The sequence below is a fragment of the Homo sapiens genome, chromosome 16, assembly GCF_000001405.40.
Source record: "Homo sapiens chromosome 16, GRCh38.p14 Primary Assembly".
Classification (NCBI taxonomy): domain Eukaryota; kingdom Metazoa; phylum Chordata; class Mammalia; order Primates; family Hominidae; genus Homo; species Homo sapiens.
In genome coordinates this window covers 83,458,519-83,477,616 of record NC_000016.10, presented here as the reverse complement: position 1 = coordinate 83,477,616, position 19,098 = coordinate 83,458,519, and the positions used below count along the sequence as shown (strand labels likewise).

General features: G+C 44.7%; 1 protein-coding gene across 6 annotated transcripts in view, besides 1 other annotated feature; it reads right to left on the bottom strand.

Annotated features, from left to right (window-relative positions):
- Positions 1–19,098, bottom strand: part of CDH13 (cadherin 13) — a 1,173,672-nt gene that overhangs the window by 323,024 nt on the left and 831,550 nt on the right. The window lies entirely within an intron of this gene.
- Positions 18,773–18,942: an enhancer, noted in NCBI's record as "active region_11230". NCBI's record gives its function as "activates an Ori minimal core promoter by ATAC-STARR-seq in GM12878 lymphoblastoid cells {active_cell/tissue: GM12878}" and the evidence as "EXISTENCE:reporter gene assay evidence [ECO:0000049][PMID:35858748]".

Below are 19,098 nucleotides of genomic sequence, written 5' to 3'. Positions count from 1 at the left end.
GAACAGAAAAATTCATCATCTGTCCGAGAATGATCTGGCTCAGAGAGATCTCACCCTGTGGGAGAGCAGCACTGACTAAACGGGCACGAGATATATATACTCCTGATACAGGTTTGAGGTGAGGAAGTGCCATCCCATAGGAACACAACTGTGCTCTTTAAAATGAGAATGCCTTAAATTTTGGGACAGTTGCTGACTTCATTTAAAAACAGTCCTAAGTGTCTCCATGCAGCTGAAATTACCACAGGCTTGAATTGAAATGCAACAGGCTTCGCTTCTCCTCTCCACTTTGCTTTGCCTCCCTGGAGCTAGTTGGTTTTTTAAGTACAAATTGACAGCCAAATATGTAATAAGTTATGACAAGTTGAGCAATGACTGTCTCCATCTGTTTTCAAAGGTTGTTTATTTTTATACTGATAAAGAGATGATGGCAACAGGACCACCTTGTGATTATTTCAGGTTTTCATTCGCTGCAGTTCAGCCTCCAGTGTCTGCCCTTCTTTCTGGTAAGCTATTCTTTAATGAAGCTGAAGAACTGTTTATGACATATTAGGTGACACATGGCCAAAACTGGGGTCCCCCATCATGATTCATTTTACTGTCCTAATTTCTTCCTTTTATCCAGACTTCGACAGTAAGATTTTTCTTACACCCCTTAAAAATTCCACTTAATCTTTTTATCTACCATTCCCATGAAGTTCTTTTTGAAAGACATAGGATACTCTATGCTGAATTAAATGATGTTGCCTGAAAACACTTCAAAAAATCAATTTTAAGTGGAAACTTTAATATTCCAAACTAATAATAAAAATACTCTTTATATTGAATTAGCCTGAAGTAATTGTAACTCTCCAATATATTTTTCCATAAACTCTTAAAAACAACAAAAGGACACGGTGTGGTTTTTTTTGTTTGTTTAACCAATTTAAGAGTTTTTTTTGAGACAGTCTCGCTTTGTCACTGGAGTGCAGGCTGGAGTGCAGTGGCGTAATCTGGGCTCACAGCAACCTCTGTCCCCCAGGTTCAAGTGATTCTCATGCCTCAGCCTTCCAAGTAGCTTGGATTGCAGGCATGCGCCACCACGCCTTGCTAATTTTTGTATTTTTAGTAGAGATATGGTTTTACCATGTTGGCCAGGCTGGTCTCAAACTCCCGACCTCGAGTGATCTGCCCACCTTGGCCTCTCAAAGTGCTGGGATTACAGGTGTGAGCCACTGCGCCCAGCCAATTTAAGAGATTTTTAAATGGCAAGCCTAGTCCTTTTTACAGCAGTGGTTTTCAATGAGGGGTATTTTAGCCCCTCTAGGGAACATTTGGCAATGCCTGGGGATACTTTTGGTTGTTACAACTGGGGCAGGAGATGTGATATTGGCATCTAGTGGGTAGAGATCAAGGATGCTGCTCTATATCTGACAAATATGAAAATGTTCAAAGGCACCAGAATAATGCTTTGCATGTATTAAGAGTCTAGTAAACATTTGCCAAATGCACAAGTGAATAAATACATGAATAAGTGAATAAATAAAAGATGAGTTTTTATCATTTTTCTTCGTTTACAGCTTAAGGTAATATAAAGCTGGAGTAGGAAGCAGGTAAATAATTGATACTTAACTGACACTAAATATTAATGAACTCCTGGGTTAATTCTGAACAATGGGCTTATTGTCGCTATCATTTATATCTATTTAAGGGCAAAGGCGCAGCAATTTGCTCTTTAAAAACACAGACCATAGGCCAGGCATGGTGGCTCATGCCTGTAATCCCATCACTTTGGGAGGCCGAGGTGGGTGGATCACCCGAGGTCAGGAGTCCAAGACCAACCTGGCCAACATGGTGAAACCCTTTCTCTACTAAAAATGCAAACAAATTTAGCCAAACGTGGTGGCATGTCCCTGTAATCCTAGTTACTGGGGAGGCTGAGGTGTGAGAACTGCTTGAACACGAGAGGCGAAGGCTGCAGGGAGCCGAGATCACACCACTGCACTCCAGCCTGGGTGACAGAGAGAGACCCTGTCTCAAAAACAGTAACAACAACAACAAAAACCACATAGACTATATTAGGCTAGGCTAGAATGAGATAACAGTCCAACCCTATCATTTCAGTGGCTTAGCACATAAAGTTAATTTCTCACTCAAATTCAGTCCACTTTGGGGGTTCACTTCAAGGGGCAGATCCTCTCTCCAAGTGGCAGCTTAGGGATCCAGACCCTTGCATCTTATAGCCAGGCCACCTTGAACATGCAGCTTCCTGACTGCTGCAGGAGCGGCAGAGAGTTGCAAACTCACATGCTGACTCATTGAACGCTTCAGTCAGAAACGACACACAGCACTCTTGCCTGCACTTCAGCGGCCAGACCTGGTGTCTAAGGCAAGCTCAAGAGCAGGTGGACTTCATGAACGTGTGACCTGCACAGTTGCACAGAACCCCTTGCTCAGACAGTCCCTGTGCTGGGTTTAGTGCTCTGTTGTCACCCTCTTGACATTCTTAATTGTTGTTGAACAAGGGACCCTGAGTTTTCATTTTACAATGGGCTCTGCAAATCACGCAGCCAGTCGTGGTCAAGAGCCAGGAGCCAGATGGCGGAAGGCCTGGGAAACACAGGGGGTCACCTGGACACTCAGTGTCTCGGCCTCAGTGCCTATACTCAGCTGCGCAGGCAACAATGCACATGCCTTCCTTTTCATCATTATGGCCCCAGAACTGCACCGGCTCACTGAACACTTGGCTCCTCCAGCGGTTGTTTCCCTATGGGGTGAGAAGCAAGATGTACCTGGGCAGAAGTCAAACAGTCACTGCTCTAGGCTTGGACCTTCTCTGGGAGTGCCTTCTCCAGCCCTAAGCTCTGGGTTCCCTGTTCTGGGAGATCTGTGCTGGCTTCACAGTTTATTCCTCGGGCTCCCAGCTCTTGACCTTGCTTTGGACACCAGAGAACTGCTATTTCCTTGGCTTCTGCTTTAATTTGCTGAATTCTAAGCTACATCCTCCTTTTTAATGAAATACTTCTGCTAAATTTCCCCCACCCTCTTGTTTTTTCTGGTGGGACCCACCAGATGTGGGCCGTACATGAGAATGAGGTTGAGCAAACATGGCCTGGGGGTATGCCTTGCAACCCTGGCTGCTCATTGAAGATATTTTAAAATTCTCTTGATGTCTGAGACTCTCCCCCAGAGATTTTTATTCTACTGGCCTGGTGTGGGGCCTTGAGAGTGGAATCCTTGGAATGATAGAAGCTGAACAGATGGAGACTCTGGCACCTTACTTACTGGCTACATGATCTGAGCAACATACACAACCTTACAGAGGCTCAATTTCCTTATCTGTAAAATGGGCTGACACCTATGACTGTGTAAAGTTGGCTTAAAGATGCAGGTAAAATATAGGGGGCACTGAGGAGGAGACCTTTGCAGTAATTCCATGGAGGAGGAGATACATGTGTGGACTGTGCACCAGAAATAGTTCTTCTAATAGCCCTGCCAGGGTAATTAGATCATCTCTATTTTAAAAGAAAGAGACTCAGGCTCAGGGAAGTCAAATAACCACTCCATCATCACTACTGGCAAGTGGCTGAGTATGGGCTCAGAGGGACACACAAAAGCATAATCCTGAATGAATACAAAAGTTGGTGCAGGAGTGATGGGGAGCTAACCTTTATGAGGGTTCGTACCATAGCAGATGACTCAGGGCATTGCAAGCATTTAATCATCCCACAAACCCTATGAGGCAGGTGTCATTAGCCCATTTTATGGAGAGGGAAGCTGAGGCCCAGGGAGGTAAAGCCGCTTGCCCATCACCTCAGTTATCTAGCTGGTAAGTGGCTGAGACGAGAGGCAAACCCAGGAAGTGTGGTTTATTCTCCCAACTTCCCTACTCAGCTCCACACAGCTCATGTCAGATATTTCACATTACATTTTGCAGGTAGGATAATTTTCCAGAATTCTCCCTACAGAGTGGCTATTGAGGACCTTGCCCTGCATTACAGCTTGTCTGGGGCATCTTTAGGCTAGGTCCAGAAGCCCGAGGGACATATAGGACCTATATCCTTGAGTTGTAGTGCAGGACAGATGATCGATGACTCCAGAACCACACCTGTTAGGTAAGTGACCTGGCTGAAGTTCCAGGTATGATCAACAAGGATCTCCAGGAGGTTTCAGGGTGCTGGTGACTACTGCAGTTACAAGATACAAATGAGCCAGGATAGTGAAATACCACACAATTCAGACTCCGTGTTCAACGGGAAGAAAGTGCTAGCAAATTGCTAGTAAAGCTGTAATGTTGCTGATTTTGCAAACATGTGTTCTCCAACTTGATAAGTAAATACATATTGGGTAACATGGTGATGTTGCAAGCTGTTGTTTCATGGCTGGGAAGTCGGCTGCCTGTGATTGATGCGAGCAATGAAAGTATGTATAAAATAACACTGAATTAGAAGGAGTTGCTTTATGAGTCTATGGAAATGGATCTTTTATGAAGAATAAAACTTGATGAAGGATCTCTATTAGGGTCACACAAAACTGAAATTAAATGCGCTGGGATTGAGATCTAAGAGGGGGCCTTCTGGACTGTCTGGGCTCACAGACTGGGGTAGCTTTTTCCAGGCCACCTGTGCCCCCATGGAACTGGAGAGTCATTTCCATTTGGCAGGATTCATTTCTCTCCACCGTGGATGTCAGAACTGACAGATGTATTACCTCTTCCAAGCCATCAGGCCACCACTCAAGGGATAACTTAGATCCATAAAACTTAACAATGCACATTTGATTCACCCTCGTATCCTCTGAATGAAACAGGGCCAGCCACACAGTAGGTGCTCAATAAATATTTAAGGAGCAAAAGGAGATTCGATCCAGTAGCTTCTGGCACACTCTGTATGAATAATCTGTTTCATTTTTGGTTTTAAATGCTCTTCCCCATGTGTTCATTTCTACCCTACAATAATACTGCTTTTCCAGATTGCAATGTTCTTCTCTTAGAAACAACCTGGCAGAAGAGAGACCAAAGGCACCTGCTCCCCACACCCCAAGGGCCAATGGACACAACTTAAGAGAGCTGCACTAGATGCTCCCTCGGATCTGGGGTTGTGAGTCCCGCCCCTGAGCGGCGGTGCCCTGACTCCACTGCCTCTGCTACAAGCCAGCTCCCGGGGCCGACCTCAGGGCTCCAGAGTCATCATGGCTCCTGCTCTCCCCAGTCTCATATCTCCAGCCTCTTGTTAGGGGAGAGATCTATTCATCAATTCCCCTTTGTTAAAGAAAGTCTGGGTTGGTTTTCATTTGTTGCAACCACAGGGCACCGTCTAACATAAATCCCCACTGGCCTCCCATCCAGACTCACAATACTCAGAGGGTTAGCAGCATGCCCACAGGAGACAGAGTCCCCAGTTTCAGTCCCAGCTCTGCCACTGAACAGCTGCTCCACTCTGGACAACAGTGAGCCTGAGGTATAACGGTACTAAGTGGGGACAGTAATGGTTTTCACCTGATGGGGTTGGTGCATGGATTAAGTGAGTGACTACATGTAACATTCAGCCCAGGACACTGTGTTCTCTGAGAATATTGTTGTTATCAAAAGACGGGAGAGGCATGGCCCAGAAGCACCACGTTTGATAAAGAAGCAGAAGAGAAGTCTTCAATGAAAGCAAGGTTAGTGTGAAATGATATTTTTTAAAACCAAAGTAACCTTAGGTTGTCTAAATAGAAGTAGATTTGTACAAGGGAGACAATCACCATTTTAACTCAATATTAAGCCTCAACAATATCCCAAGGTCTCCTCCATGTGCTCGATGAGACTCAAGAGGTAATTAAAATATGACTCTTCCTTGCAAGTTGCTGAGAGCCTGGCTAAGAAGCTGGGTATTTAGGCACTGCTCGGGTGAGCATATGGTGTAGTAGTGGTTTAGAGCCCAGGTTCCAAGATCAAATCCTGCCTACTTCAAACCCTGCCTTCAGTTTACTCACTGGGGAGGCTGGACACATGGGGCAGCCTCTCTGAGCTGCAAAAGTCGCTTCACAGTTACAAAGGCAGGCATAAAAGTGTGGTTAGAAAGGCCAGGCGAGGTGGCTCACGCCTGTAATCCCAGCACTTTGGGAGGCCGAGGCGGGTGGATCACGAGGTCAGAAGTTCAAGACCAGCCTGGCCAAGATGGTAAAACCCTATCTGTACTAAAAATACAAAAAATTAGCCGGGCGCTGTGGCAGCCACCTGTAGTCCTAGCTACTCAGGAGGCTGAGGAAGGAGAATCATTTGAACCCGGAGGGTGGAGGTTGCAGTGAGCTGAGATCATACCACTGCACTCCAGCCTGGGTGACAGAGTAAAACTACGTCTCAAAAAAAAAAAAAAAAAGGGTGGTTAGAAAAATAATGGTCCCAAACATTCCTATATCCTAATCCCCAACAACTGTGAATATCTTACCATGTTATCTTACAGGGTAAAAGAAACTTAGTCAATGTCATTAAAGATCTTGAGATGAGGGGCTTATCCTAGATTATCTGGGTGGGCCCAACAAGGTCCTTGTAAGAGAGAGACATGGGAGTCAGAGAAGGAGATGTGAACAGGGAAGCAGAAGTCAAAGAAAGATATCTGGAGACGCCACACTGCTGGCTTTGAAGACCAAGGAAGGCGTCAGGAGCCAAGGAGTGCAGGTGACCCGAGAAGCTGGAAAAATCAAGAAAGTGGATTCTCCCCTGGAGCCTCTGGAAGGAACCAGCCTTGCCTACACCTTGACTTTAACCCAATGAGACCGATTTTGGACTTCTGACCCAAGTGTAAAAAGATAAATTTGCACATTTTAAACCATAAATATGTAGCAATTCATCACAGCCACAAAAGGAAGCTCATACTAGCGGTGTCTATTTTATTGGGTATCTGTGGTGGGCAAATGAGAGGCAGAGGACGTGCAGCTCTGGGCTAGGCGTGTTATCTGCTGAGCCTGTGGTTGTGGTGGCTGCTATTATCATTTGGAGCAGCAGAAGGGGTAGAAGAATCAGATTCTCCCTCCTGCCAATGAGTAGGGTGGACATATTACACTCTTTCAGAGGTGGCAACTTTGAGGCAATGAATCATCCTTGAGCACTGCTGGAATGTTATGCTCTATTATAAGAGGAATCTAGGCTAAAATGAAGAATTTCAGAAAGGACAAAGCTAAAGGAAAAAACCAAGATCAAATTATAAGCTTCCACTATGGCCTATGCAAAGGGATGGCCAGGAGAGCTACCTTTTGATAGCCAAAGGGATGGTGCCATGAGCAAGAAGCAGCAGAGATTGGCTGGGTGTAGTGCTCACATCTGTAATCCCAGCAGTTTGGGAGACTGAGGCGGAAGGATTGTTTGAGCTCAGGAGTTCGAGACTAGCCTGGGCAACATGGTGAGACACCTTTCTCTAAAAAAAGCAAAAATCTAAAACAAACACACAGAAAAACACCAGCAGCAGAGGGTTCTGGAGGTGGGAAGTAGAGGGATAGGTGAATGTCAAAGCGAGAGTGTGCACACAGGTGTATGTGTGTGCAGGGGCTTTGATTCACTCCAACTAAGAGCCCAGGAGAGCTGCACAGATCTGAAGCAGGATATCTTGTACTGTAATAGTTGCCTGTTACAACAAGTATCACCCAGAGACTACGGCCAAGTAAAAGAAATTTATGAAAACTGCATAAACAAAGGTGACACTGTCTAAGGGTCTCTTAAAAGTCTCCCAGCCTGTAGGGGTTTGGAGAAACTGCAGCAGCCTCCTCAGTGTGTAATGCACACATTGTATTTTGCACTATCCAAGAATCTCATACATTTCAAATATGAGATGTGCTTTGATGGGTCAGTCCCATCCCCCACCGCAGGAAAGAAGAAATCATGCCTACGTGTTGCAAACAATGCATTTTATTCAACCCCAGTCTTTATGGGGGCCTATTTTGTGGCAGGCCCTGTGCTAGTGCTGTGGATGCCAGACTGAAAAGGCCTCATGTGGACCTTCCACTGGCCACATTTTGCTGGGAGACAGAGATGCTTACACACAGAATTTTCTTGCAGCATGAAGATGCAATAGACAAAAACCCATGATCAAGGTTGCCCTGAAAGCATCTGGTATCAGGAAATGTGGCTCACCGTGGATGTAAGGTGACTCTTGAATAGCTTTAGTTATTCCCCGCTGAGATATAGGGTGGGGCCAGCCTCAATATGTTTTTCCTGTATGAATGACTGTGGAAGGCCTGCTCGACCCCCGACCTATTTGATTAATACTTAGCACTGAAGCCTCTGAAATATTTTCTTCCTCAGGATAACTTGCCCGTTCACTGAGCACAAAGAAATATTAGGGCCTGAGAAACAGCAACACTGGCCATCTTCAAATTCTTCCTCCTGCTATAAGACTGGACACACTGAACATTTTTAAGAGTTGGGAACTTTCAGGCTCTATTTGCAAGTCAAGCTGAAAAAACACTGAGTTGAAAAGCCCTTAGCAGCTGCCACTTGAACTGCTATCTTCCACGGCCTTGAACTTTCTGCTTCTGCTGAATTCCACCTCCTGGAAACACATCTGGCCCAGCAAAACTAAAAAGTATTGCCATCTAAAAGTCTGACCTCAGCAGAGAAAAGATATACCAGGGAAAGCCGTAGAGTCCTGTGCACCTGTTCCTGCAGCCTATACAACTCGCTTTAGCAATGGTGGGCAATCAGAAACCCACGGGCAATGGAAGAAAGAATCAGCTGGCATCCAAAGGGAGATCAAAGTTTACACTGGGCTAATGCGTGCAGGGCTTAATGCCTAGGTGATGGGTTGATAGGTTCAGCAAACCACCATGGCACACGTTTACCTATGTAAGAAACCTGCACATTCTGCACACGTATCCCAGAACTTAAAATAAAATTTTAAAAACTTTACACAGGACGATGATTTATAGGCAGCTCAACTTCATCAAGAACAAAGAAGGGAAGGAGAGGCGGTGAAAAGAGACAGAAAGGGAGAGGCAGAGAGGCAGCAGTCTGAATGATTTGAGTTATTATCTAGGAAAGATTTGCCCTACGCCTCACACAAGTGTGGCTGGGTTTCTGTCTCCTCAGTTCTGTGTTCTGCTAATGCAAATGGCTCACCCTTCACTCACTAAATCTATTTCCTGGGGATGCTGTAACAAATACCACGAACTGGGTGGCTTAGGATTTCGGATATTTGGTCTCTCACAGTTCTGAAGGCTTCAGGTCAGAAGTCAAGGTGTGGGCGGGGCTGTGCTCCCTGGACACTCTAGGGGAGGTCTCTTCCTTACCATATGCAGCTTTGGTAGCTATCTACATTCTTTGGCTGGCGGCCACATCTCTCTCTGCCCTGCCTTCACCTTGCCTGTGCTTCTGTGCACCTGTGTTCTCTCCTGTTGCCTCTTTCTTCTAAGAACACCTGTGATGGCATTCAGGGCCCACCTGGATAATCCACAGTACTCTCATCCCCAGACCCTTCAATAAATCACAACTGCAAAGACTCTTCTTCCAAATCAGATCACATGGACAAGGTCCAAGGAATAGGACTTGATCTCATCATGCCAGTGATTTCAAGTTCACGGTGCCAAAAGGGCATGGAAGCAAGAGAGAAGACAGTTTGTGAGATGCTTCCTCAGCTGATACACCTGTGAACTGTGCTGACTGCCAGAGTGAAGAATGGAACCAGAGGAGAAAAAGAGGCAACTTTGCTTCTAACCTCATCCTACCTCACAGAAAGCCTCATGACAGAAAGCCTTGATTCACCCTGTCAAACGGACTGTTTATGCTGCCCAGGGTACTGTGCTGAGTACCAGTGTGCACATCGGACCCCAGGAAGACTCCATTATTGTCCTTGTTTGGTTAGTGGGAGAACAGAAGTGACTGGCTCAGGGTTACACAGCCGGTGTGTGGTGGGTTGGGTCCTGAGGACTCAGCATCTCTGCTTGGGGGCTGTGTTCTGCAGCCAGGAACGACACAGACAGCAGAGGGCAGAAGGAACAGCATTGGGTCCAAATATGAGAAGCACACAGGTGTCTCGTGCCCAAAGAAAGTTTCAGCGTCAGTTTCTTGAGAACCAACTCCGTGGAGGAAGACTCCTCTGCACGAAGCGGTTGCCAGTTCTGTTCTTGGGGTCAGCTAAAAACAGACACGTTTTCTAGGCTCAATTCACAAAGAGCTGTAAGGCGCCAGCTCCTAAATCTCAAGATGTCTGCACTCCAGGCATCTATGTTATCTTTTCAGAAACGCAGCAAAGTGGCTGGGGAAGATGAATGTGTGACATCCGCTCACACATAAGCTCTTTCATGGGCTTGCTGGATTTACAGGAAAAGAAATCTGTCACAGAGGAGACATGCTTTATATTTTTCTATAAAAACATGGACAAGACAAGTCTTTTCTTCATTTCTTTCCAATCTTTAAAGAAAGAAAAATGTGCACGGTGTATTTGTTTTCTCTTGGAACCACAAAACGTTTGAGCAGAGAGATGCGTTTGAGTTTACTGAGAGCCGGGGCTTGGTAAGAGTGTTTTTCTGGAATGTCAGCCATTATGGCTTATATTGCTTTCTTGTATCGAGAAGTAAATTTTATGGAGAAATTTTAGAACCCTCTACTCTGGCCCTTGGATTGTGGCTGGAGTCCTGGATCCAGCTGGTTCCTGTGGTTTTTAAGGAAAATACATAAAGCAGAGACTATCAGGAGGAGAGAAGTTAGTCGGCAGTCTAGATGGTGGGGTACTGCCATATAAAGACTGATTGTAGTAATTGGGCTTGGCTTGGCATGGAAGACTTAATCTTCTTTTTAGATTTAAAGGGAAGCAATGATACAAAGAAAGAAAGGAATTGGGCTAACATGATGTGAAGGTGTTCCTGTAGGGTAAATGCATCTGATAACAGTGACTTAAGCATACCCTTGGGATGACCCAGGATGGCAGATGCACCTGAATGTGTGTTCCAAACTAGGGAATCCAGGAGAGGTCGACCAGGAGATTTGTTCCTTGTCTATGATAAACATCTGAGCCCCCCACTCCGTTTCATTCCATGGGACATGAGCTGTACACATTGAGGCCCTGAGTTTTGGGTTGATGAAGGTTGCCAGGTGGAGGTCATTAGGGGGAGTGTGTTAAGGGAAAATGTTATATAAATTGCATGATGTTTGCAGTTTTCCTCCCCAGCCCACTGCCACTAGGCTGTGTGCTTATGTCATCTAGCCTGCTGACAGTGGATCATAGGAAGGTGAAATCTTATCCAGCCCTCTGTTGCTGGACTGTTTCTGTATATAAGGCGGTTCTAATGTCCAGCTTATTGCCGCTAGACTCTCTTGCCTGGATGTAAGCCCCTAATAAAACCCCATGCCTCCTTTGCTGGCTCTGGGTCTCTTCTTCAGCCTCTTGAACCTGGTGTCTTCCTTACTGAGGTTAATAGGGTTTGGCACAACAGTTCTAAAATGGGAGCGTGCTACCTTCCAACTTTTGAATGACTTCATGCTTAAACGGAAACAGCGTAACGTCACGTGGCTCCCAGCTAGGACGGGTGATGGGTCTTGGGGAAGAACAAGGCTACTGCAGGGGCTGCTTGACCATGGGGTTGCGGGGGGTGGTCCTGCCTCGAGAGACCACAAGCTCCTGTGGTTCAGCACATGTGTGTAGGTTGAATGACACCTGCTGTGAAAAGCAGAAGAGACTTCTCCTCCCTGTAGAGGAAGGAAAACATCAGATCGCCTCTGGGTGACTTTCAACTTGCAGTGTCTGTGATTCCAGCAGGGTAAAGAGAACACCACCAGTGATTTCAAGTTCACGGTGCCAAAATGGCATGGAAGTAAGAGAGAATAGAGTTTGTGAGATGCTTCCTCGGCTGATACACCTGTGAATTGTGCTGACTGCCAGAGTGAAGAATGAAACCAGAAGAGTAAAAGAGGCAACTTTGCTTCTAATCTCATCCTACCCCACAGAAAGCCTCACAAGGACATGCACAGACCATCAATTGTCTCTGAGCTGATGGGGAGGTCTGCTTTGAGTGTTCCATATAATTCCCCAACACTAGAACGACACAGGCATCAAGCATCTCCTATTTCCTTTACTGCTGAGCTGCTCTTATCAATTAAAAAGGCGGCTTCCATTGACTTGAATCTTTATTTTAGCCCTTGTGAAAATTTCCATCTTAATAAAACCGGCTGAGTGGCTTGTCTGTTACCCACTCTCCTGGAAAGGGTTGGTGTTACATCTATGTCCATGGGGACAGAGTGCTTCAAAAGAGCTATTCCAACTCCAAACTCAGATGCAAATCATGTTTATCAAAGCCTCCTGCCCTAGGCGTTGCTATAGATTTTATCTCAGGGACCCTCTTGTAATTCTAGAAGCTCACTCAGTTATGTTGCTTCTGTCGCCTTTGTAGCTGTCTAGCCCATTCGCTCCTCACACCTTAACACTTCTGGCTTTCTCTAACAGGCTGTCAGCTCCTGTTATCCCATCTTTATTTTTACTCTTGCAACTTATCACCATCTGAAACATTACAAATTCATTTGTTTAGCTCGTTGATTAATGAATCCCCGCAACCCTCTTTGCCAAATGTGATGGGGGGACTTTGTCTGCCGCCTTCTGTCACCACCCAAATGCTTGTGGAAAAAATGAATGAATACTACTCAGGCTGTATCCAATTCAATGGTTCTGAAATGAGAAACTGTGTCATTCCCAGACTTGATATCCTGCAATGGCCCTTGCTAGATACAGTAAAAAATCTAGTGGCTCATGCCTGTAATCTCAGTACTTTGGGAGGCCGAGGCAGGGAGATCACTTGAGGTCAGGCGTTCAAGACCCACCTGGGCAACTTGGTGAAACCCCATCAAAAATACATTATCACTTTCTGTACTAGGTTGACTAGGGTCCTCCCCAAATTCACGTCTACCCAGAATCTCAGAATGTGTCTTTTCGGATGTAATTAGTTAAAATGAGGTTATGGTGGATTAGGGCAGGCATTCCGTCCAGCCTTGGGGTATCCTTGTAATAAGAGGAGGGCCAGGTGTGGTGGCTCATGTCTGTAATCCCAGCATGTTGGGAGCTCAAGGCGGGTGGATCACCTGAGGTCAGGAGTTCAAGACCAGCCTGGCCAATGTGGTGAAATCCCATCTCTACTAAAACTACAAAATTTATTTATTTATTTGAGACTGAGTTTCACTCTCGTTGCCCAGGCTGGAGTGCAATGGCACGATCTTGGCTCACTGCAACCTCCACCTCCTCGGTTCAAGCGATTCTCCTGCTTCAGCCTCCTTAGTAGCTGGGATTACAGGGATGTGCCATCACGCCCGGCTCATTTTGTATTTTTAGTAAAGACAGGGTTTCACCATGTTGGCCAGGCTGGTCTTGAACTCCTGACTTCACATGATCCACCCACCTTGGCCTCCCAAAGTGCTGGGATTACAGGCGTGAGCCACCATGCCCAGCAAAATTTAGCCGGACATAGTGGTGTGTGCCTGTAATCCCAGATACTCAAGAGACTGCCTGAACCAGGACGGTAGAGGTTGCAGTGAGCTGAGATCACACCACTGCACTCCAGCCTAGATAACAAGGCAAGACTCTGTCTCAAAACAAAACAAAACAAAACAATAAAATCCCCCTAGAACATAGCATAAAGGAGCTTCCGAATCTGGCTGATGTTTCTTTCTCACCCTCTCCCACTCCAGACGACCCCCTTCTCCTGCTACAAAAGTGGTGGTCCTTAGTGCTGTCAACTGATACTTCTAGTTCTCCTTCTGGCCACACAGAAGGACTGCACTGTCTTCCCCTGTTGGATTTACGAGTGGCCCTGTGACTTACCTGGCCTATGAAACAGAATCCGAAGTGCTCCAAGCCACTTTCTTTGCTTTTTTTGGAGACAGAGTCTCACTCAGTTACCTAGGCCGGAATGCAGAGATGTGATCATAGCTCACTGCAGCCCTGACCTCCTGGGCTCAAGTGGTCCTCCCACCTCAGCCCCTCCCAAGTTTCTAGGACCACAGGTGTGCACCACCATGCCCGGTTAAATTTTTAAAATTTTTATAATGATGGGGGTCTCACTATGTTGCCCAGACTGGTCTTGAACTCTTAAGCTCAAGTGAACCTCCTGCTGTGGCCTGCCAAAGCGCTGGGATTACAAGCAGGAGCCATTGCACCTGGCCTGCATGCCACTTTCATGTGAAAGCTTCAAGAGCCTGTGTGTAGTGTGGTATGCCATCTTCCTCTGCACAACCACTGCCGCTGTTCTGCAAAGTGGCCACTCTGTCAGCCTGAATGCCAGAGAGAGGGTGACATGGAGCCGAGCCCCCAGCCAGTCCCTGGAGGATAGAGATAATGGGAAGAAATGAACTGTTTTTATTGTGAATCGCTGCATTTTGGGTACTTTACTATGACAGCATAAGCTGGCCCATCCTGGCTGATGCACTTAACTTGAACTTTCACCAGCTGGCTGTGCTATCTGACGCCTGGGCCTTGGTCCCTGCTGTTCATTCAGCAATAGAATCTTCAATGCCCCTGCCCCAGGTTGTTCCTGCTTCATCTCAAATAATTTCTGCTCATCTTTCATTACACTAGAAAGTCTGCCCCAACACTCCTTCCCGAGGCAGTGTTATATTTTCCTCCTCTTCCATTCTGCTTGTCTTCGTGGTTTTATCCTCTGCCTAGAGCTTGGCACACTGGGTTTACCATTGTCTGTTGGGTGATCAGTCTCAGCTACAAGACCATAGCTTCCTCGAGAGGAGGGTGTATTTCCACAAGCATATTCCCAATGGCTCAGAGGCCACCAGGTACCTAGGATCTAGGTATTACATAAACTTTTATTGGACAAATTGATGAGTAAGTGAACAAATAGTATTAGAGATGTTTCAGGGTTGGGCATTGAGAAAGCAATATATACCAGGTGCTCCAATTTCTTTCTTTTTATCTGAGGCAGAATCTCACTCTGTCACCCAGGCTGGAGTGCAGTGGCATGATCTTGACTTACTGCAACCTCCACCTTCCAGGTTCAAGTGATTCTGCTGCCTCAGCCTCCTGAGTAGCAAGTTGCAGGCATGGGCCATCACACCTGGCTAATTTATTTTTTTTGTATTTTTAATAGAGATGGGGTTTCACCATGTTGGCCAGGCTGGTCTCAAACTCCTGACCTCAAACTCCTGCTCGCGTTGGCCTCCCAAAGTGCTGGGATTACAGGCGTAAGCCACTGCACCTTGCCTCTAATTTCTTTCTTGATCTCACCACCTTCTGCAATAGTAAGCTGTCCCTGACCCTTGTTTAAAGAGCTAGAAACTGAAATTCAGAGAAAGGAAGATAAGCACTTGAGACTATATAACTGAAAGGAGGCAGAAGGAGATTCAATCTCAAGTTGTGAAACTCTCGAACCCAAGTTCTTTTCCTTGCCCGCTGCTGAAAATGGAGCCACAGCATTGCTTCCCTTTCCCAGGGGCTAAGGCAGCAGAGACAGGTCCTGCTGAACAGACCACAGGTTTGCCTGCAGGGGCTCATGGCTGCTTGAAGAACTGCAAGGCAGATGTAGAAGTGACAGAGCACAGCTGTCAGTCATGCACTGCCCCATGTTTCCCTCTTGGCCCCTGTTAAAACGATTTCCAAGTTTCTGCTGGTGACTTCTCTTGGGTTACTCTTATAGACTCATGAGAGCCACGAAGTGGAAGGGATGTTGGAGCCATGGAGCCCACCTTTCAGCACACATGTAGGGACAGGGAGGTGTACAGCCTTTGCCTAAACACATCCAGGGACCTGAGCTCATACCTTACAAGGCAGGCCACTGCTTTCTGGGGTATGTTTGGCTTTGGTGAGATCTTGGGTACACAGAGCCAGAATCGATCTTCTGGAAACCTCGAAGTTCCACTATAGCTCTTATACATTCCCCTCCGATGAGCTACAAACTTACAAGCTGATCTTTTACATTGCTAGTTACCACCCTCTGACCATGCTTTGATTTGTCAACTCTCTATTCAAATCAAGATGCTGGGAGAAAACTATACAAGATACACCTTGATGCATGCTAGCTGTTGCAGGATGATCACTCTTCCTAGAGTGGAAATTAGCTCTCTGGGCAGACACTTGTACAGAAGGCTCCTTTTGAACTTGTCAACTAAGACCCCAATATTGTTTGTGCATGAATTGCTGTTTAACAAAGGCGGGGGTCTCACCTCAATTTAGTGAACTGGTTTTTAAGAATCTCAAGGGGAAGATTTCATCTTCACCTCTGTTCCATTAAATAATCAGTTCATGGCTGGAGCTTGTCCATGCCTTTCAGAAAACCTGATTCAATCATCATCATCCCTCACCTGCTCTGGATGAGCCAGATTTTAATAAATTATTGATAAAAATGTTGAATGAGATAAGATTCATGCCTGATAAATGTTACATAGCTGATACTTCCTCTTTTCCATTAAAAGCTATATATTTTATATATAAATAGGAATATGTACATATACATGTATGTGTATATGTACCTATATACACACATGCATATACAACATATAGCAAGGTATAATAAATAGTACAGTCAACACTTGTATCCACCACCCAGCTTAAGAAATATCACATTACGATACCACTGCAGCTCCTGTGTGTTCCTCCATGATCTTAGCCTGCTACCTTTCCTCTTAGGAAAATGGCTATCTGCAGTGTTTGTTCTGTGTGTGTGTGTGTGTGTGTGTGTGCGTGTGTGTGTGTTTTGAGACAAGGTCTAATTCTGTCACCCAGGCTGGAGTGCAGTGGAGTGATCACAGCAACCTCGACTGCCCAGGCTTAAGCATCCCAAGCAGCTAGGACCATAGGCATGGGCCGCCATGCCCAACTTTTTTTTTTTTTTTAATTATTTGTAGAGACAACATCTCGCTATGTTGCCCAGGCTGATCTTGGACAAAATCCTAGGCTAAAGCAATCCTCCCGCCTCGGCCTCCCAAAATGCTGGGTTTACAGGTGCAAGCCACTGCACTCAGGCTATCTGCAATTTTAAATCTATTATTCATTGTTTTGCTTCATAGTTTTACTTCTTATCTGTTTCTAAACCTAATAGTTTTTCCTGTTTTTTTGAACTCTATATAAATGAAATCATCTGTTTGTATTTTTCTGCAGACTGTGTTTTCCACATATGCATGTCCTGGAGATCCACCATCCTTGCTGCAGTTCATCAGACGTACACACTGCCGGGTACGGAGCTATGCTTCCATCAATGAGCATGTAGGCCATTTCCTATTTTGCTATTGCTAGAAATGCTTCTAGGAGTGTTCTTGTCTCTGTGCCCAGGGGCATAAATGAGAATTCCTTGCAGAGATTATCTTAGGGATAGGTTACACATCTTCCACTTTGGTAGATAATGACAAACTGTTCTTCAAAGTTGTTGTACAAATTTACTCTCTGAACAGCAGTCAGCGAGGGTCTCTGTTTTCCTGTTATTGCCAAAGCTTGGCATTTCTAGGCTTAATATTTACCAATCAGGAAGACATAAAATTATATAAATACATCTAATTGTTACTGGAATTTTAGCAATGGCCAATGAGTGTGAACAGTTTTTTATACATTAGTCATTTTTCTTATTCTGTGAAATGACTGTTTTTATCTCTTAGTTATTTTTTACTTTTTTTTGCTATCTTATTGAGTTTAGAAGTTCTTTATATAATCTTGTTACTGATCCCCTATCAATTAAATGTGCTGTGAGTATCTTTTAAAAGATAACGTCTTCAATCTCTACCTTTTCTTTTAAGCCCTCACATCTCATGGAAGAACCTGTTGCATATCAGACTGAAATCTATGTGAATTATGCCTTGGGCATTCCTCTTTTCTACCAGTTGAGTAACACTATTGAAAACTACAATGCTCATACTCCATTCTACACTTTTTGTGGTACTCAGGGGACGTTTACTGGTATGTAGTTTCTAGATCCTTCCTTTCACCTCCTTATGCAGTTGAGTCATTTGGTTATTTTTCTTCCTGTGATCAAGTGACTCTTAATACAGGTTTTACCTTTAGCATTTACATGAAACCATCAAAATTTCCAAAATCTCCTTCATTAGAAAAACGGTCACAAATCTGCGAATCTGTCAGCCATTTTCCTATGGCTCTGGTACAGCACAGTGAAACCAAATTGCAAAGTTTAATTAGTTAGCTTGCTTCAAGATAAAAATGCAAATAAAAAAGTTTTTAGTTTCACCCGTTTATAAGCCAAAGGCAAAATTAATTAAAGTCCATGGAGAAAAGTAAACAAACATTTTGAAATAAAGGAAATAAACATTCTGAAGTGTGAGGTTAAGGCTCATGAAACATGGGAGAGTCAATTATTTATAGTCATGTGTTTCTGTCCGATAATTTAATCACGTTTATTCTGTCCTCTCTCCCACTGGAATGCATGCTAGGAAGAAAGGCTCATTAAGCATTAAAAGGTGGTCCACATGGGTTTCTTGTCAATGGCATTGCTGCATCCCAATGCTAACAAAATATTTCTGGACAAAATGACAGTGGATTTTCTGAGTTCTGTTATTTTCATTAAGATGTTCTTAGAAACCTGTAAAATGGGAAGCTCATATATAATTTTGCCATATTTAAAAACCAAACAAACAAAAAGTTGGTATTGTGCTGTTGGCCATCTTGGTTCTTAGATTAGTCATAGAGGAAAACAAGTGTGTTTGTTGGAATTGACAGTTAAGATGTTAAATAAAAAGAAAAACCCCATGAAAAATTGTCGTTTCATCATCTGTAAATAGACACTGCTTTTGCATAATAATATACCCTTCTCTTGACAATATCTAGAAGCAGTGCATGATGGGATGTTTTCTCATTGCTGCAATGCTGCAGTGAAACTGAAATCTCATCAGACTTGGGTTGAGTCAGAGAAAGAGACAACCGGTGCTGTGGCCCACGATCAGCAGACAGAATGTCAGAAATGAGCAATCGCACCATTGGGAATTCATCCAACAGGACTGAGAAGTGTCAGTATGAAAAGACAGTATATAAAGAAGATTGTTGCTGGGTGGCCTGGGTTTGCAAAACAACAGGAAGATGGCTGAAAAAGGGAAATCAGTAAATAAGTTACAAGGCTACCATAGCTATGAAAAAATAGTAAGAATTTGTATTGTCATGGAAAGATGACCACAAGATTTTTTGTAGTGGGGGGAGATGAGTTATAAGATGAACTCCA